The sequence below is a fragment of the Homo sapiens genome, chromosome 7 (genome assembly GCF_000001405.40).
Source record: "Homo sapiens chromosome 7, GRCh38.p14 Primary Assembly".
NCBI lineage: Eukaryota > Metazoa > Chordata > Mammalia > Primates > Hominidae > Homo > Homo sapiens.
The window spans coordinates 50,123,813-50,147,768 of NC_000007.14; the positions used below are offsets into that span (position 1 = coordinate 50,123,813).

General features: G+C 35.7%; 1 protein-coding gene across 3 annotated transcripts in view, besides 1 other annotated feature; it reads left to right on the forward strand.

Moving 5' to 3' along the window:
* The window catches only part of SPMIP7 (sperm microtubule inner protein 7), a 63,374-nt gene that overhangs the window by 27,930 nt on the left and 11,488 nt on the right, over positions 1 to 23,956 (forward strand). Inside the window, exons 3-7 of one of the 3 annotated variants that reach the window (NM_001161834.3) lie at positions 5,905 to 5,981; positions 10,296 to 10,434; positions 12,286 to 12,353; positions 16,328 to 16,369; positions 17,469 to 17,576. In NM_001161834.3, the coding sequence (NP_001155306.3) occupies positions 5,905 to 5,981; positions 10,296 to 10,434; positions 12,286 to 12,353; positions 16,328 to 16,369; positions 17,469 to 17,576 (434 nt within the window). Of the gene's footprint in view, positions 1 to 5,904; positions 5,982 to 10,295; positions 10,435 to 12,285; positions 12,354 to 15,758; positions 16,050 to 16,327; positions 16,370 to 17,468; positions 17,577 to 23,956 lie in introns of those variants that run through there. The other 2 variants (XM_011515052.2, XM_011515053.3) reach the window with 2 other exon arrangements.
* Positions 21,975 to 22,024: a silencer, noted in NCBI's record as "silent region_18177". NCBI's record gives its function as "represses an Ori minimal core promoter by ATAC-STARR-seq in GM12878 lymphoblastoid cells {active_cell/tissue: GM12878}" and the evidence as "EXISTENCE:reporter gene assay evidence [ECO:0000049][PMID:35858748]".

Sequence of the window (23,956 nt, forward strand, 5' to 3'; positions counted from 1 at the left end):
GAACAGAGAAATAGAAACGTAGGGTTTTCCAGAAGCCAGTAATAAAATGTTACACTTAATCCAAATATATCATAATTACATTAATTACATTAATGGTAATATACTAAACATTCCAATTATAAGGCAGACATTGTCAGAATAGATAATAAAGCAAGACACAGCTATATGCTATTTACAAGAGGCATACTTCAGTTATATAAAGATACAAATCCATTGAAAGTAAGTCAATGAAAAATACATACAATGTAAATAAAATATAAATAGGCTGTAGTGGCTATTTTGAGATCAGATTAAATAGATTTCATGACAAAGGGTGTTACAAGACATAGAGAGAGTCATGTCTTAGTTACAAAACAGTTAATTTGTCAAGAAAACCTAACAATCATAAATGTATATGCATCTAGTAACAAAGGTTCAAAATACTTGAGGCAAAAATGAACAGACACAAAAAGGAGAGATACACAATTCCACTGATCACCTTAGGGGGTTTTAACATCTTTGTCTACTTGATAAAGCAACTAGACAAAACAACTAATAAATACATAGATCTAAACAATACATCAATCACCTTCAGGTAGTTGATATTTATGGAACACTACACCAAACACACACTAAATATTCTTTTCAAATGCACATGATATGTTTACTACTATAGATGATATGTGGGGACATAAAACAAGTCTTAATACATTTAAAAGTATTGAATTCATCCCACATATGTTCTCTAGCCAACACAGAGTCAAATTAAAAATCAATGACCATAAGACATCTAGGAAAATATCAAATATTTTAAAATTAAACACACTTCTAAATAACCTACAGGTCAAAGAAGAAGTCACAAGATAAATTAGAAAATATTTAAACTTAGTGCAAAATAAAACATATCAAATTTTGTATAATGCAGTTAAAACTCTGCTAAGAAGAAAAATTAGCCTTATTTGCTTACCTTAGAAGACAAGAAAGATCTAAAATTAATGATAATGTTTCAATATTAAGAAACTAGAGGCTGGGTGTGGTGGCTCACGCCTGTAATCCCAGGACTTTGGGAGGCCAAGTTGGGTGGATCACTTGAGGTCAGGAGCTCAAGATCAGCTTGGTCAACATGGTGAAACCCTGTCTCTACTAAAAACACAAAAATTAGCCCTGCATGGTGGCGGGTGCCTGTAATCCCAGCTACTTGGGAGGCTGAGGCACAAAAATCACTTGAACCCAGGAGGCGGAGATTGCAGTGAGCCGAGATCATGCCACTGCACTCCAGCCTAGGCGACAGAGTGAGATTAAGTATATATATATATATATATATACACACACACACACACACACACACACATATACACACATATATATACACATATATACACATATATATACACATATATACACATATATATACACATATATATACACATATATACACATATATATACACATATATACACATATATATACACACATATATATACACATATATACACATATATATACACATATATATACCCATATATACATATATACACATATATATACATATATATACACACATATATATACACATATATATACACATATACACACATATATATATACATATATATATAAAGAAACTAGAAAAATGATTAAATTAAACCAAAAATAAGAAGGAAGAAAATTTAAAAATGGTAAGAATGGAAATTGTGAAATGGAGGATAGATACACAAGAGAAAAAATTTGAAAAGTCAAAAGTTATTTCCTACCTAAGTGTCCATAGACAGATGAATGGATAAAGAAAATATGGTGTGTGTGTGTGTGTGTGTGTGTGTGTGTGTGTATAAATATATATTAGAATATTATTCAGCCATAAAAAGAAAAAGAACTTCCATTTACCACAACATGGATGAACCTGAAGGACATTGTAAGTGAAATAAACCAGGCACAGAAACAGAAATATTGCATGATTTTACTTATATGTGGAATCTTAAAAAGTCAAGCTTATAGAAGCAAAGAGTAGAATGGTGGTTTCCAGGAGCTGAGGGGTGGAGAAAATGAAAGATGTTGGTCAAAGGATATAAACTTTCAGTTTTAAGATGAATTAGTTCTGGAGATATATTATGGGGACTGTAGTTAATAATACTGTATTTTTTACTTGAAATGTGACAAGAGAAAGATTTTTGGCATCCTCACCACATATGCACATACACACACACAAATGATAACAATGGGTGATGACAGATGTGTTAATTCACTTGACTGTGGTAATCATTACACAATGTATACATGTATCGAATCATCATGTTGAACACCTTGAATATATACATTTCTTTTTCAATTAAATGTTTTTAAAAGCCCAAAGGTTTAGCTTTGAAAGAATTAATGAAAGTGATAGACCTATTGTTAGACTGATCGAGAAAAAGAGAATACACATCATCAATATAAAAAATTACAGATCCTAAAAAAAGATAAAGGAATATTACAAACTTCTGTGTGCCAATTAATTTGGCACTTAGATGAAATGAATAAAATCTTTAAAAATCAAAGTTAACAAAATTAATACTAAGTAAAATAGAATATGATAAATGCATATATATCTGTTTTTTTTTTAATCAGAAGACTTACCACAGTGAAAACTTCAGGCCTAGATAGTTTTACTGATAAATGTTATCAAACATTCTAGGAAACAACCACCAATCTTATATAGGTTATTTCAGAAATAAAAGAGGGAGTACTTCTCAAACAATTTTAGGAGTCTAACTTTACCTCATATAACAAAATCAGACAAAGATTTTACAAAAAATAGAGGAAATCTTAGATTAATATTTCTCACATACACAAACACAAACATCTTTACAAAGCAAATAAAAAACAATAATTTATAGAAAAGATATATCCTAATCAAGTAAAGTTTATCTCAGGAATGCAAATATTCACTTACCATTAAAATTAATCAATGTAATTTAACATACTAATGGAGTAAAAGAGAAAATTAATCATTTTGCTAGATATAGCTTTGAAGAATTTTTAAAAATATATAATGAACACGTATATTGAACACAGAGTAGAAAAAGGTGAAAAAGGAAATCACAAGCAGAAAAGTTAATTCTTCATAGGAATAGAAAAAATACTAAATTTATATGAAAATGCAAAAGACCTGGAATAGCCAAAGCAATGCTGTGCAAAACAAGAAAGCTAGAGACATCACACTTCCTGACTTCAAAATATTCCACAAAACTATAGTAATCAAACCAGCATGGTACTAGCATAAAAACAGACACAGAGACCAATGGAACAGATTAGGGAGCCCACATATAAATCCACACAATTACAACCAACTCATCTTCAACAAAGGCTCCAGGAATACACAATGGGAAAAGGACAGTCTTTTCCATAAATGGTGCTGGGGAAACTGTATAGCCACCAGCACAAGAATGAAACTAGACCCCTACCTCTCACCATACACAAAAATCAAGTCAAAATGGGTTAAAGATTTAAGTCTAAGATCTGAAGCTCTGAAACTATTAGAAAAAAGTCATGAGGAAATGATCTAGGACATTGGTCTGGTCAAATATATTTTGTGTAAGACCTCAAAAGCACAGTCAACAAAAGTAAAAATAGAAAAAATGGGACTACATCAAGCTAAAAAGCTCTGTACAGAAAAAAAAAGTGAAGAGACTACTCACAGAATGGGGAAAATATTTGCAAACTACCCATCTGACAAAGGATTAATAACCAGAATGTATATAAAGACCTCAAACAACTCTATAGCTATGTATATATATGTATGTCTTATTTTTATGTGTTATTCTGAAAAACGTCTATTCATATCTTTTTCTATATATATATATATATACTGATTAAAAATGGGCAAAAGATATGAGTAGACATTTTTCAGAATAAGACATAAAAATAGTCAACAGGTATATGAAAAAATGCTCAATATCACCAATCAGAGAAATGCACATCAAAACCACAGTGAGATATCATCTCACACCAGTTAAAATGTCTTTTATCAAAAAGTCAGGGAATAACAAATGCTGGTGAGGATATGGAGGAAGGAAAACTTTCATTCACTGTTGGTAGAAATGTAAATTAGTACAGTCACTATGGAAAACAGTATGGAGGTTCCTCAAAAACCTAAAACTAGAAATACTATATGATTCAGTGATTCCACTACTGAGTATATATCCAAAAGAAAGGAAAACAATATATCGAAAAGATATCTGCATTCCCATGTTTATTGCAGCCCTATTCGCATTAGGCAAAATGTGGAATCAACATAAGTGTCCATCAGTGGATGAATGGGTAGAGAAAATGTGGTATATATACACAATGGAATATTATTAAGCCATAAAAGAGAATAAAATTCTGTCATTTGTACCAACGTGGATGGAACTGGAGGTCATTATGTTAAATAAAATAAGCCAACTACATAAGACAAATATTGCTTGTTCACACTGATATACGAAAGCTAAAATGGTGGATCTCATGAAGATAGAGAGTAGATTGGTGGTTACCAGAGGCCAAGAAAGGGAGTGTGGAGGGAGGATAAGGAGAGGCTGATTAATGGGTACAAATATACAGTTAGATTCAATAATTAAGACCATGTTTGATATATCAGTGGGGTGACTATAGTTAACAATAATCTGTTGCACATTTCAAAATAAATAGAGGAGAAAAATTCATATGTTTCTAGCACAAAGAAAAGATAGATATTTAAGGTGATGGATATTCCAATTACTCTGATTTGATTTTTACAGATTATATGAATGTATCAAATTATCACATTTACCCCCAAAATTTGTATATCTATTATGTATCAATACAAATACATTTTAAAACTATGAAAGCCGATAGTGGTAGAATAGAAGGTACATGCGGAAGTTAGAGATAAAGCAATGCAAAAATTAAGAGACATGAACCACAGAATGAAAAGTCCAGTATTTGTCTGATAGTAATTCTAAAAGAAGAGAATAATTATAATTCATGGACAGTAAATAGATAAAGATAGAGAACTATTTGATGAAAGTTATGAATTGTTAAATCGAAGAAGTATAACAAGTCCTGAGCCAGATAAACAAAAATATAGCCTCTCCTAAACAAATTACATTGAATCTGTAAAAAATCTCAAGACAATGATAATGTCCTAAATATAAGCAGAGGGGAGGAAAACAGAATACCTGCAAACAATTAAACTCAGTGTATTTTAAAAGCAACAATACATCCTCGAAGTCAATGAGGTAAATTTGTTACTAAAAAAATCATCACTAGAATTGAACTAGAACTCTGAACCCAAGTTAGAACACTTTTCAAAACTGAGGGTGAATTAAAACATAGAACTAGAAAAAGTTTACATTTGTGAAAGAATTAACAAAAATTGAACTTCAGCAGAAAGAAAATGGAACCAAGTACCTAGGGGAGAAAAAACAAGTACAATAAAAAAGCAAAAGGAGGCAACAAATTGGTAAAATATCATTGAAAATTGAAATAAATAGTAACCATTAAAGATAATAATGATTATAACAATAATTAGTTAATTAATTTTGATAAAATAACTGGAAGATAAAGTATCTCATAACTAATCTCTTTATGTTATTAGAAGAAAAGACAATACGTTCTAAAATTTTTTTAATTACATTGTGCTAAAACTAAGTATTTGCTGATGTTTCCAATTCAAGAGCTTTCTCTTAAGTTCTCACTTTCCATTAACTTTAATATACATTTTGTGAATTTAATGATTATGACAATAAAACAATGCAAATTCCTTAAACAGGAGAGGAAAAGTAGGGAAGCATTAAATCTGGTCAATCCAAGAGGTGCGTGAAAGAAGAAATATGAAGAAAAAGGAATCCAAAAGAAAACATGATGACTAGAAAACAATAACAATTTCCATTTATATTTGGTCTCTTTTAACTTATTTTTCATGCCTTCTAGGATGAAGGTGAACCACTTGTTCAAACAAACAAGAAATGTAATGCAAAGGACTCATTTTACAAGTCCTCTACACAAAAGTAAGCAGTTTTCCCAGTGGAATTTTGATTTTGGAATATATTTCTTTTTCCTTTATGACACATCCTCTTTATGTCTATAATATCCTGGATCTTATGAGTGACACAGAGGACATCAAACGCAGACATTTACTGATATTGATTGCTAAAATAAACATTGAAGGAAGAGTCTTAAGGCACACCTATGCTTGATGGAAGAATAAAACCATAACAGAAAGTAAATGGTCAAAGAGGGAGTGGGGGGATAAGAGTACAGCATCCTAGAAAGCCAAGACAGAGAAAGTTTAAATGGGAGAATTCATTGACTCAGTCAACAAATATATTGGGTACCTATTACGAATCTATGTTTTAGACTATGAGCTACATCAGTGAGTAGGCAAAGATCTCTGCTCTCAAATCTCTCATTATAAAGGTGTATTGATCTCTTTTCACTCTGCTAATAAAGACATACCAGAGACTAGGCAATTTATAAAGGAAAGAGGTTTAATTGACACAGTTCCACATGGCTGGGGAGGCCTCACAATCATGGCAGAAGGCAAGGAGGAGCAAAGTTACGTCTTATATGGTGGCAATCAAGAGAGCCTGTGCAGGGCAGCTCCCATTTATAAAACCATCAGATCTCGTGAGACTTATTCACTACCACGAGAACGGTATGGGGGAAACTGCCCCCATGATTCAATTATCTCCACCTGGCCCCACCCTACACAGGTAAGGATTATTACAATTCAAGGTCAGATTTGGGTGGGGACACAGCCAAACCATATCAAAAGGGAAACAGACAATAATAAACAAACACACTTAGAAAGTAAATAGATCATATCTTAAAAAGTGACAGATAAGTCTATTAAGAAAAGGTAGAACAGGACAAGATCAGGAGTCCCACATGTACAGGGTAGCAGGCTTCAGTAATAAGTAGGAGGTGTGGGGAGGCCTCCCCAGGTGCTGAGGGGTGTGCAGAAATTTGGAGGAGTTGAGAGAGCAGCCATGCAGAGATTTGGAGTGACTCTATACCCTGAAGAGGGAATATAGAGCAAAAGCCCAGGTCAGAAGTATGCTTAAGATGTTAAGGAAGAACAAAAGGCCAGGGTGCCTGGAGTAGGGTAACAGTAGGGTAAGAGGAGGGAGTAGCAAAAGGAGAGGTCAGAGAAGTGCTAGGAACCAGATCTTGTGGGACACTTTAAGCAATTGTAATTTTACCAGGACTGTCATTCTGAGTGACATGAGGCTTTAGCAGAGAAGTGGAAAGATCAGACTTATACAAGAAGGTAATAATCATGGTGGCTGCTGTGATCAAAGTAGATTTTTACAGGGGAGAGAAGATGGAACACCAGTTAGGAGGTTATTGTTGTCATTTAGGACAGAGATAATGGTAGCTTGGGGGAGAGTGCTGGCAGAAAAATTTGTAAGCAACGGTTGAGTTCTGGATGTATGTCGAATGTAGAGCCAACACAATTTTCTGATTGTGATGAATCTGGAGAAAAGACGACTCAAAAATGATTCTAAGGCTTTGGCCTATGCAGCTGGATGTACTGAGGTTGCCATTTCATAACAAGGTGAAGGCAGTGGAGAAGTCAGTTTTACATACATTGAATATAAAGATGTTCATTAGACATCCAAGTGGATATGTCAAGCAGGCAGTGTGAAATATGGATTTGAAGTTTGAGGCAGAGGCCTGGGCCAGAGAAATCAACCGGGGTGTCATGGCTTGTAGAAAGGTATGTAAAGCCATGGAACTGAATGAGAACACTAAAGGTGAAGTATAGTCATACAGGCAAAGGGCACTGAGTCCTGGCATCTCGTTAAAAAAGAGAAAAAAAGAGGAGAAGCCAGCAATCGAGACTGAAACGGAGCAACCAGTAAGGTAGGAGGAAGATGAAGAGTCTAGGTCCTGGAAGGCAGATTGAGGATGTGTTCAGGGAAGAGTAGTGATTGCCTATTCACATCATGCAAATAGGTCAAGTGGGATGAGGCCCAAGAATGGATAATGGGGCTGACTAGTGGATTTAGAATTCAGCAGAGTGATAGAGTGAATGCCAAAACACATGGCATGACACAGAGAAATGGATGAAGAGGGAAAGAGAGGCAACAAAGAGAATAAAGAAATGACAACACGTGTGGACCTCAAAGCACTCCATATCTGCCCACTCTTTTTTCTTCACATATTTTGAACACTTCAGACAGGCTTCACATTTCAACTTCATTTTTTTTCATTCAAATTAAAAGTATACCCATGACCAAACATAGTGTCATGAAACACATGTATGAACGCCTACTATCCCAGGGGTGTTATGAAAACACTTAAAAACATGATATGAAGTTGGATCTCAAAGTATTAGAACAACATGAGGAAAAAGTCTTGTTCATCAGCCATCTTAGAATCCAACTCTAAGGCTTAAAACATACCTGCTTGCTGAACATGGGATCCTTGTTGAACTTGCTGAACTTGCTGAACTTGGCATCCTCCATTCTTTTTCACCTCAATTTTCTCATCTTAAAAATGAAGGATGATAACCAAATGGCTCATAAATTCCTCTCTGACTTTTGGGTTTATTTCCCATTGTATTCTTATCTTGATTTTAATTTTAAAAATTCCAGTGATCATCTCAGAAACAGTTAATATTTTATTAAGGTTGTGATACTTCACTCAGAATGGAAAAGTTTTATTATATGACAAAGTATCAAATCATAGTATTAAGTAGTTTCTCTTTAAACATATAAAGTATCCTTAGGGAAAAGTTTATTACCTTCATGGAAAATTCCATAAAATATTTATGAAATTTATCAGAGGCTCAAACAGTGAGGTATCTTTTAAGCTTTCATTGAACTCACAGATTAATTTCTTACATACAATACTAGTCAGATATGGTAGAAAACATTTAAGACTTTGCCATGATTTAAAATATCTTATTATATTTAGTGCTTCTATGACACTAATTTTAAGATAAGTAAGTTCTAAATGTATTCACACACAACAAGAACACTATGGACTCATCACTGATCTACTTAACTTTTCCAATATTATGTTTTTAAATTTTCACAGCATTCCTATGTGGTAGAGATAATTTTTGTAATGGTCCTTTTTCATTCTTGTATCGTAAACACCTAGCACAAGTCTTGAAATATAGTTATCTCTGAACAAATATATGTGGAGGAAGTGAGAATCACTGGTAATTCTTTTAAAAATGACTTTGACTCACAGTGGGATTTTTTTGGAAAGATATGCCTTGTCCATAGAATGGAAAGATCAAGTTTCACACTAAGTGTGAATAGGGCAGGAGAAGGTCTGGGGATCCATCTATCTTGTCAGAATATAGTCTTTAGAATGAGGGTTGTATGGTTTTCACTCAGGATCCAACTGGAATTGATTTCACTGTGTCTGTCATATATGCCTGTGAAAGAACAACTTTCAAAACTCCAAAGATCCCCATATTTGTGTGTGTGTGTTTGTGTGTGTGTGTGTGTGTGTTTAAAATAATTGCATGTCATAGGACGGCTGAAGCCCTTCAACCATGCCAAAAAACTTGTACAATTTGGCTGCATTAGTGTGGAATAGTGGGACTGTTGCTGAATCTTAGGAGGCAGATTATTTTTGCAGGGGAGAGTCCTGACTTTGACCAATAGCTGACCTTAAGCAAAGGAAATCAGTTTTCTAAGCCATAGTTGATTTGTAAATTAATGGTATCCTCTGAAGGTCAAATGAGCATTTTTTTGGAAACTGTAAGATGTATGTAAGTTTTCTACTTCTGTGTGACAGACTGCAGGAATTTAGCAGCTTCTGTTATCTAGCAGTCCTGTAGGTCAGAAGTCTAGGTATGTCCCAACTGGGTTTACTGTTTAGGGTTCCCTAAAGCTGGAATCAAGGTGTCAGATGAGACTTGGTTCTCATCTTCCGGGATCATTCAGGTTGTTGACAGAATTCCATTTATTGTGGCTATAGGACTGACATTTGTTTCTTCAAGGGCAGACAAAGAGCATGTGTTGTTGTTTTGTGTCTCTTTTTTAGAGCTTGCTTGCTTAGGTTGGGCCTATTCAGGAAAATCCCACCTTCTGATTAACTCAAATTCAACCAATTAGGGACCTTTACTACATGTGCCAATCTCTTGGGGCATATAAAATCACATAACACAGGAGTACTACCTCATCATAATCACTTGCTCTGCCTACTGTCCAGGGGAGGTGATTATATATGGTATACACACCAAGGGGCAGGGATCCTCAGGGTCATCTTCGGATTCTCTTATCATAGTATCATATTGTTATAAACTTTACCAATTGAATATGCTTTTCATAAGATGTTCCTATTTAATAACTTCATAGAGCTTATGAAGATGTTCCTTGGGATAAGATGCTACCACCAAAACTTGTTCCAGAAGAAACAACATTGGAAAAAACCGCTGACCCCATCTCACAGTGTTTTACTCTGAAAAGATATAAAGGGGTGCCAGCAATAACTCAGGTCAGCAGACTTCTCTGAACAATAATGTATTTCTCATTGTTATTGAAATGAGTTCTAAAACTTTAAGTCAAAATAATACTTATTTTATTGTTAACAATACCTAAGGAAGTAAATTTATGTAAGATAAGTAAATATATATACACACACACACACACACACGTATGGAGTTGAAATTTCCGTAATCGTGCAAGTTATTGATGACTGCAAATACTTTGATGTTTTCAATATTCAAAACTTTTATTGATTATGTAAAGACTACCTCTTTCTCAAAAGTTATTTGCAATGACTGTGTTTATTTTTGGAATTGCAAGAGAATGAGTAAATAATGAAGAAGACAGAAATAATTTTACCAGATAACCTATGCTGAAGATGGTTCTTCACACAGGATCTAGATCTTAGCTCTGTACTTTTCATGGCAAAAAGAGAAGATCCATAGATTGCTATCTGATGTTGTCACTTATTATGTGATAAAACAAAGCATACCAACTTTTCAGTAGTGACACTCATTCTTTTTATTTCCGAGTGTCAAGAAGAATTTATCACAGGAATTATCATATCTATGCCATAGCCAGATAACTTTTCGTAATGTGTGAATCTGTTTGTATTACTCCACTGATTAAACCCATCCTTTTTTATTTAAAAATAAAATCCACACTCCTTGACGTGACACAGACCCAATTCTCCATTATTTGCCCATGGTTCCCTCCTTAGCTTCATCCCTGCCCCGTTCTCGTCTTCTTACTGTTCCTCTTTATTGCCCAAACATCACCCCACAGTGTACTCTGTCCTTTCTCTGCTGAGCTTCTCTCAAGTCCTCAAGTCTCCCATGCTCGTTTCCAGGTTGTGTGCTTTGCAAAGAGTCTTCCACTGCCTTCATCACTCTCCCTATTTATGCTAGGTGAATCTCAAGAATTCTTCAGGTCTTATTGTAACCCTCACTTTTGACCTCCCAACACTGGATTAGATGTCTCAGCTCTGTGCTTGCGAAGTACCTTCTACTTCCATTGATTCCTTTATCTTTTTGTGCCACTTCTCACGCGTAGGAGTCTGGTTAAGCCCTTGGGCTTTTCCCATAATGAAGTTTTTGAGTACACAAAATCCATAGGATTAAAAAGTAAATCAATTATATTGAAATACAGCTCTTAATATAGATCCCAAGAGGTCCCCTGATGGTAGGTTAAGATGCCTATATTTTCTTGTAAAATTTATTCAGCTTTTACAGAGAAAAATGATAATAAAAGAGGAAAAACATGTCTTTAATATAAAGACTCAAACCTGAGATTTTTCACATAGAAAAAGTGAATTAAAATAAAAATATATATGATTTCATCTAGCTAATTTTAAAGGATCTCTAAACTACTTTAAAATATTTTTATACCTGTGAAAGTTGGTCCTTTCATTACACATTCCTTGCCGTTAAATTCTACTAGCATCCAAAGTCCTTCTTGGGCCAGATGATATTCAAAGCTTAGGATCTAGGCTCGTTTGGAAGTGGGAAACTGGCCTGGGTTTGCAGAGGGTAGACTACAGTGGATCCAAGTCAGAACAGTAGCTAAGGATGAAAACTAAAATCAGACTTTCCACATGGGTTTCGGTATGAAACAGGTGGATAATGAGACAGATTCCAGCTATGAGAAAACAAATGGAAATTGGAAGTCTGAGATCAGATCAAAGACCATGAGTGGCTCCAGACCGAATCCATGAAGTGCTAGCAAAGCTTGGAGAGTGCGTTTCCTAGGGAGCCTGGGGCATAGCTATGACGTAGAAAGGACTGTCAAGGGGACAGGAGTTTATCCACCAGAAATTATAACGTGCTCATTAACTGTCATTGATTTTGACGATTATTTTTAGATGGTTGGTGAGCTCTGGGACAGATTTCAAACAAGATCTTTCTTGGCACCAGTCAAACCAATTAATTTGTAAGTTTTATCTCCTAAAGTTCTCACACTAGGTTTCTCACTATCATGTTTTGTAATTAAGAAGCTGATGCTGTAGCCCTTGGCTTAGAGGTGTGGGTGAGGGATATGTTCTCTGATGGAGAGCATCCCAGGGACTCCCTGACTCACATCCTTAGGGCTGGGAAATCCCAGGACAGTTGCTCAGTGTGCCTGCTTCCTTTACTTTCTCTTTACCCTAACCCTAACATGGTGAAACCCTGCCTGTAATCCCAGCTACTTGGGAGGCTGAGGCAGGAGAACCGCTTGGATCCAGGAGGCAGAGATGCAGTGAGCTGAGATCACGCCACTGCACTCCAGCCTGGGTGATGAGCGAGACTCATCTCAAATAAACAAATAAATAAATACAATAATATAAAATAGGGAGGGCTTTATAAACAGTTTGATATAAACAATTACAATATTGCTAAAATCCATGGACTTTATATAAAATAGATTATACATTATTTTCAATCAATTTTTGTATTATATAGTTACTTTGTGTTCTATTAATGTTAGAAACTATGGTTTCATTACTACTACTTCCTCACATGTAATTTTCACATTTAGTCTAAAAAACTAGGTGTTTCTGCCTTTGAAAACATCACAATATTGTCTGTTCATTTTTGCTCGTAACACAACCCACAACACAGGTTATCATCTTTGTTTTTATTTTGTATTCATTTTTGAATATTTTATGTACACAAAAATGTATAAGAATATGACATAGTCTGTGTGTATGCTCCCCAACTTTAGAAATAAAATATTACTTACACAATGGAAAATTTCTGTATTTTTTTTTCTAAGCATATCTATCTTCCTCGTGGAGCATGACTAGTATTCCGGATTTGACATTTCACATTTTCATGCATTCTTATAATTTTTTAAAACACATGTGTTATTGTTAACCTATATATGGAATTGTGTTCTTTGTCTATAAACCCAGTATTAGTGGTATCATACATATATTTATGCAACTTTATATTTTTGTTCATATGAAAAATTACATATGAGGAAGTAATACTAATAAAGTCATAGTTTCTAACATTAATAGAACACAAAGTAACTATATAATACAAAAATTGATAGAAAATAATTTACATTATTTAATTTCACATTATTTAATTTACACAAAATTTATATTTCTGTTTGTAAGATTCATACCTGTTGACATCTGTGTTTCTAGGAGTTTGTTTTCACTGTTGTAGAGTCTTCCTTTAAATGGATGTGCCAAAAATTATTCATCCATTCTCATAATTATTTTCTGATTTTTATTACAGTTGGTACAGTGCCCACATACCTTCACATACCTAAGTGTAAAAATATTTCTGAGTTTTATATACTCATATTTATGTCTAGAATTGTTGGGTCATGTGATGTGTACTTCTCTGCTTTTTAAATATTGCTATGTTCTTCTCCAAATGAGTTTCAACAATGGAATCTCCCATTATAAGTGCTTGGGCTCCCATTACTGCACATCACAGCCAGTGTTTAGAATTTTCAGATAAAAAAAAATCCAGTCTTATCAATAACAAATTGTGCTCCATTATAATTTTAGTTTACATCTACCTGATTACTAACGATCAGTTTTTGCAAGTTTATGACCTGTTTGAATTTTCACATCTGTAACTTGCCTGCTTATATATTTTGTCCCTTTTGCTGTTGGGTTTTTACTTACTGATTGTCACAACTTTTCTGTTCAATATTCTGGGTAAAAATCCTTTCTTGGTAATATGAATCAAAGTATCCCCTTCTAGTCTGTGACTTTTTTATTTTAAGACTTTTCTATTTTTGCTTATCTGAAGTTTTGAATTTTACTGTAACTAAATTCATCAATATTTTTCTTCAGGTTTTGTTGTTTTTGTGAAGATTTTAATGAGTGTTTCTCTGCCTTGAAATAATAAAGATATCCTCCTTTTATAACTTTTTTCTAAAATTTTCAAAATTTTGCTTTTCACATTTATTATTTTTAAAGCATTTGATTATTACTTATGATAAGAGCTGGGGATCCATTTTCCCAACATAAATAGGCAATTATGCTAGCTCAGTTTAATGACAGGATCTTACTAAATAGTTTAATGAGTGATTTGTAGGCCTGTTGGCTAAAGCCTGTGAGTGCTGAGTCACAATGAGCATTTGCAAAAATGAAGTTGAATAGGAAATATAAAAGTGAATCACATGGAATTTTAAAATGTAACTATGTATTTTTCAATAACTACCATGGGCAATTATGAAGAATAGCATGAGACAGACAGACATCACATACGAAAAACACATGCCACTCCAGAAAAAATTATTCATTCCATCTTTTGCTCTCTGGAATTTCATCTGATTTTCTGGTTTTTAGAAGATCAATTTGATCATCGCCTCAGTGGAATGGTTAACCTTATATATTTAACTTTATATTTACCTAATCCAAATTAAATTTAAAGCAAAATGTAGGAGATATTAGTCCACAGCAAAATTAATGAGAGTTTTTGCTAAATTTTAATGATCGAAAATCAATATCAAGGATACCATTTTTAAAATCTTTAACAATTGCACCACTTCAATAAAAGCAGTATAAAGTGACCTTTAAATGGGATTTTTTTTTTTTTGGTAATTGGTAGAAAAAGGAATGAAATGGAAATACACAACGCTGTACTCAAGTCTGACTACTGGATCTAGAAATGCAAATAGTGACAGTACGGAGAAGAATATTGAGTCTTGTCAGAAAACTACCATTTTATTGAACCATATCTAAAAATGATGTGCAAGATTTTTGATAAAATTTATTTAAAGTATGGTTTTGCCAAATGTGTAAAATACCCCACTATAGACTCCAACGTGTAAATTGAATGGTAATCGTTTAAATAAAAGATTGAAATATTTAAAAATTTAACATTATTGACCAGGTGTGGGGGCTCACACCTGTAATCCCAGCATTTTGGGAGGCCGAGGCAGGCAGATCACGAGGTCAGGAGATTGAGACCATCCTGGCCAACGTGGTGAAACCCCGTCTCTACTAAAACTGCAAAAATTAGCTGGGTGTGGTGGCACGTGCCTGTAATCACTGCTACTCGAGAGGCTGAGGCAGGAGAATCACTTGAACCCGGGAGACGGAGGTTACAGTGAGCCAAGATTGCACCACTGTACTCCAGCCTAGGTGACTAGAGCGAGGCACCATCTCAAAAAAAAAAAAAAGAAAAAAAAAGATTCTTGTTCATATAGCAAGCTGAAGTTGATGATAATTCCATTTGAATACATTTTTTAAAATGTAATTTTTTTCTACTAATTCTTAACATGTGAATGTTAGTTCTAAAACTTTATTGGTATATTGGTATTTTTAATTTACATATCATGTGGTAAAATGGCAAATAGCTCAGGGAGATGATAATTTTTTTATTCCAGTTTACATAGATCCACTTAATTTGTTGATTATAAGTCAGCTGGCAAATGAAAAGCTATGTGGGTTAGTCAGCACTGCCACATCTCAGAATTCTTCAGCATACTATTCACAGTGGAAGCCTCCTGTACGTAAATGTTCCTTCCAAGAGCTCACACAAAGACCTATATGTGAACGTTTATAACAGCTTTATTCATGATCTCCAAAACCCAGAAACAACCAAGATGCCCTTCAGCAGGTAAATAGATAAAGATACTAGAGTATGCCCATACAATGGAATACTACTCAGCAATGAAAAAGAACAAACACAACACACAACAATATAAATGAATCTGAAATACATTTTGAAAGCAGCCAGACCCAAAAATTTATTATATGATTCCATTTATTTGACATTCTGGAGAAAGCAAACTACATCCTTAAATAGTCTCTGTTTAAAATCACAAACCTTTAAAGGACAATTCCTATGAGATATCTGTGAAGGCTTTTGTCTTAATTAGAGAAATACTGTAATAATTTGATGTTTATTAACTTAATATAAATAACCCAGTTGCCTCTCTTCTCTTTTTTGAAGTGTGAGTTCAAGTTCTAGAAGTAAATATATTCCTCTCTATACGTAAGTAATGTTTCTCAGTCTTGTAAAAAAATTTTAGATTTATATTTTGGTTGTAGTTGCTTTCAGCTCACGCATGTTGTATTCACTTTTTAAGACAACTTATATATTGTAACACATTTCTAATGTTTGTGTGGCACACAGTGCCTGTTTAATGTCAGAAGTCCCATCTAAGGTTTGATTTTGATGAAAGAAAGAAAGAAAAGAAAGAAACAAAGAAGGAAGGAAGGAAAGAAAGAGAGAAAGAGTGGTATTTTTCTGTTTTTCCAAATACATTACCTTTTGAAATAAAATACCTTGGATGCTACCACTATTGAGTGTTATGAATCACAAAAACTGTTATAATTGCAGAAGGGATGAGATGCTCATTAACAGCATGGAAATATCACCTCTTAATTTCTACATTTAATGCCGGCTTTCCATGGATGGCAAAAAAAAGTACATTATCTGCCAGTTGGGGTCTTCTCCTGGTTTTTAGATGGAAGAAGAACCTTGAAACAAAACAAAGTAGATCCAAGAATATGGAGGAGGGATCTGGACCTTTAGTCCTGGCCCACCCCTCTCATTACTCGGCCTCTTCAGTTCTGCAGTTGACTAGTGTTTCTACCAGTGGCCCCAGAAGTCCTTGAAACTCTCTGATTGGCATTAACTCAGCCTCTCAACTTTCTCTCAGGCCCAGGGGCACGTGGCTTGTTGCCCAAGCTCCTCTGCACCTGTGAGGGTTTCCATTCACCAGGAGCCTTATAATCTCTGGCACACACCAGCCTCTTCCTTGCCCAGCCTCCAGCCGGTCTCCAAAGGAGTTGTGCTGGGGCTGCAGGAACAGCCCGCTTCTTTGTTCAGAAACACAAAACAGCCCTTACTGTCACTCTGGCTCAAACTTAAGATCAAGGAGCATGCCACCGCTCATTCTGAAGAAGAGAAAATTATCTTTATATTTTTTAAGGAAAATTGTTCTATCATTATGCTTTACATTTTGCATTTTGAGCCTTTGATCTACTTTGGCAAATAAATTTCCTTTGGAAGTTAGAATACTGTTCAATGGTTTCTTCTATGTTTCTTATACAGAAATATATGCCTTCTTTCCTTTCCATTCTAACAGTGGTCATGTGCAGTCTACAAATGCTGATGATGTTGACAACCCCTTGGGAGACATCGCATCGCTAGCCAAGCAGCGGTACTCTAAGCCTCTTTATACAAACACAAGTCGGTGAGTTCCATTCATGATTATTTCACTTGTTTTATTACTAAGGATGAAACATGATGATGGACTTTACCATAAATGAAGGAATTTAAACGTGGCTTTTATTGAACATTGCTGAAGAAGAAAGATACCTGCTTCCTAAAAGAAATGTGGTTTGTCACAAAGGAGATTTTGGGGATTGACTCACTTGGGGCCCTTGAGCAAGTCACTTTATCTCTGTGACTTCAGTTTCTTCATCTGAAACTTGTGAGAAAAAAAATGCCACCAAGCAAGGTGATCGTGGGGGGATCAATAATGTTTGTAAAGTATCTGAGACGCGGCAGATCACTAACAGAGAGGAATCACTTTTTTTTTTTTTTTTTTTTGAGACGGAGTCTCGCTCAGTCGCCCAGGCTGGAGTGCGGTGGTGCAATCTCGGCTCACTGCAGACACCGCCTCCTGGATTCACGCCATTCTCCTGCCTCATCCTCCCAGTAGCTGGGACTACAGGCGCCTGCCATCACGCCCTGCTAATTTTTTCTATTTTTAGTAGAGAGGGGGTTTCACTGTGTTAGCCAGGATGGTCTCGATCTCCTGACCCTGTGATCCGCCCGCCTCGGCTTCCCAAAGTGCTGGGATTACAGGAGTGAACCACCGCGCCCAGCCGAGAGGAATCACTTTTACACATAGGAACTTGAAGGCTGTCGTGCTGTGCTTCGTCCTGAGGAAGGAGTCAGTGGGCTGGATTCTTCCATACATTCTGCAAGGAAATCATTGCTACTACACATAATAATTCTAAAAATCTAAAGGAAGGATATAGGAAGAAAGCTAATTTAAAATATTCAGGCACAACAATTTAGGATTGTTTCTTCTTTGATACGTATATCTAAATTTTGAAATGTTGTATGAAATATTCTTTCTAAAGAATCAAAACATATTATTTGGGGTCATTTCTTCAAAGAGAGTGAAGAGCAGTATGGCAACATTTTAAAGATTTGGTGTAAAAATGAACCACTTAACTTCAATAAATTTGGGCATATAGCATTCCTGCCTCATCTTGCTGTTAATTTCTGTTTTTAAGCAAATGATATTTTGAGCGAATCATATAAAAGAATTGAAGATATTAACTGTACTTACCTGATTTGGGCACTAGAGGGCCTCCAAGGTTGCAAAGTTTCTTCTTTTGATTCGCTTTCAATTTTTAACGGAATCTTAACCTGTTAACACAAAGAAATGTTTTTCATTTTTATTTATAAAATATTTATAGACACAGAAAGATATAGTGTCACATATAACATATCAAATAACGTAAGTAAACTCCTGTGTATCCCCCACCTAGTAACATACAGAATCTTACTCAAATCTTTTCAGCCATGTGTGTGGCCCCAATCTCATTGCCCATGCCTTCTGCTTCCCCAGCTCAGAAGCTATACTCATTAGACTTTATGCCTTTCTTTTGCTTACTTTTCTTTCTAGTTTTGATACATACATATGAATCTCTAAACAAATTATTATGTAGTTTCCACAATACTGCTTGAGCTACAAAGCAAAGTACAGGAGAATATAAACAATATGATGTCATTTGCATAGGAGCACATGCGCCTACTTTGTGCCAAGTAAGGTACAGAGAGCCATCCTATTGAAAGCAAATATGTCTCTTCTTGAATTTTTTTCATCTTAAAGTTTCTTGAAGAGAAATGGCTTTATGATAGTATCTTTAGGGTCCTTTTTAATGATTGGTGGCACTTAATCATGGCTGGGAAACACTGCTATACCCCTGCCTTTTCAGTGAAAGCCATTTTTTTTTTTTTTTTTTTTTTGAGACAAGAGTCTCACTCTGTCACCCAGGCTGAAGTGCAGTGGCGTGATCTCGGCTCACTGCAACCTCTGCCTCCCGGGTTCAAGTGATTCTCCTGCATCAGCCTCCTGAGTAGCAGGAATTACAGGTGCACACCACCATGCCTGGCTAATTTTTTGTATTTTTAGTAGAGATGGGGGTTTCGCCATGTTGGCCAGGCTGGTCTGAAACTCCTGACCTCAAGTGATCCGCCTGCCTCGGCCTCCCAAAGTGCTGGGATTAAGGTGTCAGCCACCACACCCGGCCCAAAAACCGTATTTCAGGCAAGGGTCAAGGCCATTTACTCTCTAGTTCAAGTGGCTTCAGCATTGGAATCACCAATTTTTCTACAGGGCAAAAGTTTTAAAAATTTCCTTCATTAGTTGATTTTGTTTTATGGTTACTAAGTCATCTGACATGCTCTGTGTTTTTTATATTGGTAGTGATTGTGCTAATAGCTTAAAAATAGTAGTTTTTATTTTTATTGTAGAACTGAATCTGATCATTAAAGAAAAAGTATAGAAATATTAATAACAATGACAATATAACCAAACTCTTATTCATAACCATTATTAACATTTTGGCATATTTCCATCTGTCATACACACTTCTAATCTTGCTTTTGTATATTTACATAGCTATGATCACACTACACAGAACATTTTTACCACTATAACATTACCACATAATTATGGGTACATGTTTTTATGAGCTTATCATAGCTTCTATTTGTGTAGATGTACTGTAACTGCCTCATTCACTTAGGTTACATATGTAAATTGTTTCCATATTCTTTATATGACTCTTTCTTGATTTGAAATTATTTACTTAAGTGACATTCCTTCAAAAGGATTCTGGGGTCAGAATATGTAAACATTCTTAAAAAGTTCTTAAACTTATGGCTATCATTTTCTTGAAGTGTTATGTGAATTTACAGAGGTTTGGTGAGCCAATGGTTATGCTCAGTATTTATGCTCACCTTTAATAGTAACATTGAAGCTCCACAAATAACTTTTTTCCAAAAGTGTTCATTATGAAAATAATTCAGATATTTTTGAAGTGTAGAAAGTAAAATATCTCTTTCATTTTCAATCCCAATATTAAAAGTTTGATTTCTTTTTAGACTCTTCCCCTCATGCATTTATGAATGTGTGCAACATATATGTACAAGTGTATTGTGTGTGCATGGATAGGTGGAGTGTATGTGTGTATGTAAGATTGAAATATGCACTAGATATTTTTGCATATTAAAATCTTTTTAATGGCTAGATGTATCCCACCAAATCTATAACAAGTTTATATTGCCCAAGCCCTGAATACTTTTCTTGTTGTAAACAATATAGCAAAAACAGCCTCTACATATATGTTTGTACACTTATCCATGCATTCTTTTGGAACAAATCACTAAAAATGAAATTGTTGCCTGAGTTTTCTTATTAAAATTATTTTTGAATTTGGTAGGCATGCCCAGTTACTAAATGGCATTTAGAGTTCAGGAACTCAAAATGTTAACGCAGTTTCTACTGCAGTTCCTAACTTATTATAACTTGAGACTAGTTTAGGAAATAGAAAGAATCCAAAATAGTCATTGGGTTCAACAAAAATTATTGAAGCTCAGTATAGCTAAACAATTATCTTTGTTTCTTCAACAAACATGAACTGTTGACCGGATCTGGGTAGTGTTCAGGAATTTTTTTAAAATGATGCAAATTCATCCGCACTTATAATCTGTGTCAAGCAGAAAGTTAAGGTAAGACTGAGATGAGAATCCTGCTTTTTCAGGCCTGGCACGGTGGCTCACACCTGTAGTCCTAGCACTTTGGGAAGCCGAGGCGGGTGGATCACCTGAGGTGAGGAGTTGGAGATCAGGCTGGCCAACATGGTGAAACCCCATCTCTACTAAAAAACACAAAAATTTGCCAGGCTTGGTGGTGAGCGCCTGTAATCCCAGCTACTAGGGAGGCTGAGGCAGGAGAATCGCTTGAGCCTGGGAGGTGAAGGTTGCAGTGAGCCAAGATCGCGCCACTGCACTCCAGCCTGGGTGACAGAGGCCCTGTCTCAAAAATGAAAAAAAAAAAGAATCCTGTTTTTCAAATCTGTTGTTTTTATCCTCTTCAGTATAAGATCCATATTCTTTGCAAGGGCTCGGTGAACAAGTTTGAAGATAAGCTCAGTCCCTTTTAGTAACCATTTTACAGTCCCATATAATTTCAGTGCTTTGCAGTCATGAGTCATCAGTACAAGGAACATAAAAATTGAATCATCTGTAATGGCAGATCTCTGTCCTTTCCCAAGGATATGGAAAGAGTGTTGGGGTACTTTTTCTTTTGTAACAGACTCTATTGTAGATTATATATACATATATATATATGTATATATATATATGTGCGTGTGTGTGTGTGTGTGTGTATATGTGTGTGTATATATATATATATATATATATATATATATATATATATATACATCTTACATATATGGGAGAGAGCCCTGAGATCTAACATATATGCATCTCACACTTGTATTTCCAAAGAATAAACAGGCTCAGCAAAGGTGAGGTGCAGGCCCAGCTAACAGAGCAGCACAGCCCATGCCTTCTGAACCCAAACCCAGCACTTGCAGTCACCATTTGCTTGTTTTTCCAAACTAGGCAGCTGCCTATGAGGTACCATCCTCCACTAAGTTATAATCTTTTATCTAAGGACGTTACAAGGTTTCATATTTACTGTGCTTTTTGACCTCAATGATTGCTCTGAGGAAGCATTTGCAAATAAAGAGGAATTGTCCAACATGGACCCCCAGGCAGCCCCTGGCACATGTCTCCCATGGAAAAGGGGGCTTCCCTGTCAGTCGCTGGACTGTGTTGCAGCTTAACAAAATTTTACCACAACCCAGGTTAAAGAATAACTCTATGAATAGTAGTTCCTTAGATCAGCCCAATACTTCTGCCTTTTCAGACTACTTTCACACACTCCCTCATTTGTTTTTCAAATAGTGTGATGAGGCCAGAAATGAAGGTGCAAGTTCTATCCCCATTTTGCAGATGAGGAGGCTGAGGCCAGAGGAAATGGCATAAAGAGCCAAGATCACTCATTTCATGAGTGGTAAAAAGTCCAGAGAACTGGCCTCTTAATCCCCAGGGCAAGCTCTTGCCTTAACTCACATTAAACGTGGCTTCTGCCTTTGGCAAATAATGGGTTCTTGGAGCTTTGAGTTATACTGTTTCTACATTCCCTCCTAAATGGAAGAATTGAAGATCCCAAGAACACAGGAGGAAAGAATATACCCACCAGATGAAGAGAATAATCAATAAACCTGCAATTCCTAAAAAATATCTTGTGGCCACGACATCTTATGATATTCAGAAAAATGCAATCCAGTGATCAAAGTCATTGCAAAATGATTCCAGTTTTATTTGCATTTGTCATTGAACAATAAAATCAGACAAACCCCAACTCACAATGGACTCCTGTCTTTTCCCCTCCAGCCACATCTGCCTCACAGTTCTCTGCAGTCCTTCCCTTCTCTCAGCCCTCTGGGCTGACCCTCCTTAAAGTCCAAGCCTGGAATTTACTACTCTTCCTCCGTCTCCCACTTTCTGCTCCCCTTGCCCACCCTAACTTCCATCCATGACCTGCTGCTCCTCTCACATGGGTCTGCACCTGCTGCATGCTGGGCACTGTGCCAGGCCTTTACTTGCATCACATCGCCCCCAGCACCCTCCAAGGGAGTGCAGCTACCCTGACTGATGGCCAATTATAGGTGAGGATGCCTGAGAAAACTTCAGTTGAGGTCTAAGTTCACACAGCTGGTCAGGGCAGCCCTGGAATTAAATGTGTCTGTCTCACACCCCCCTCCCTTATGTCGCATCCATGGTCTTTGTTCACTTGGGATCTTTAAACATTTAAATGTGCATTTTTTAAATTAAAAGTATTAGTGTGAAAGCTGTTGGGAGCTAAGTCAGCTTGATGTCTGCCTAGAACTGTAGCTGATATAGAATGGCTCTAAATAAAAGACTATCACATTGATTTGAACCTGCACTTACACCCCACCCTGTATAATTGCAGCCCACTGTGAGCTAATGAGGCTCTCCTGGCTGGGCTGGGAGTAATGCCAATGGTCCTTCCTATTCAGTTCAGTTGCACTGAGGTCCAGTTCTACCACTTGCCAGCTTGGTTGGTGCTGGCCATGATACTTAGACTTTCTCTGTGTCAGTTTCTCCATCTATAAAATGGACATGATCATAGGACCTATGACACAAGATTGTTGTGAGAATTAAACAGTCAATTTACATCAAGCATTTAAAAGGGTGCCTGGAATATAGAACATACTCAATGACTATTAGTCATGTTTACAGTGTAGAGTGAGAATTTCTATGCATGCCTAAATTTTATGCACATATACAATACATATATTCTACGTATAACATGGTTTTCTCCACATTTTTCCTCTCATATTTAACTTATATACCATCTGTGCTCCCTTCTTCTGAGTTACTAAACTTCTTGATTTTCTTAAATTACTTAATTTCTATTTTATCATGTTTGGTTGAGAACCAATTCATTGTAGACTT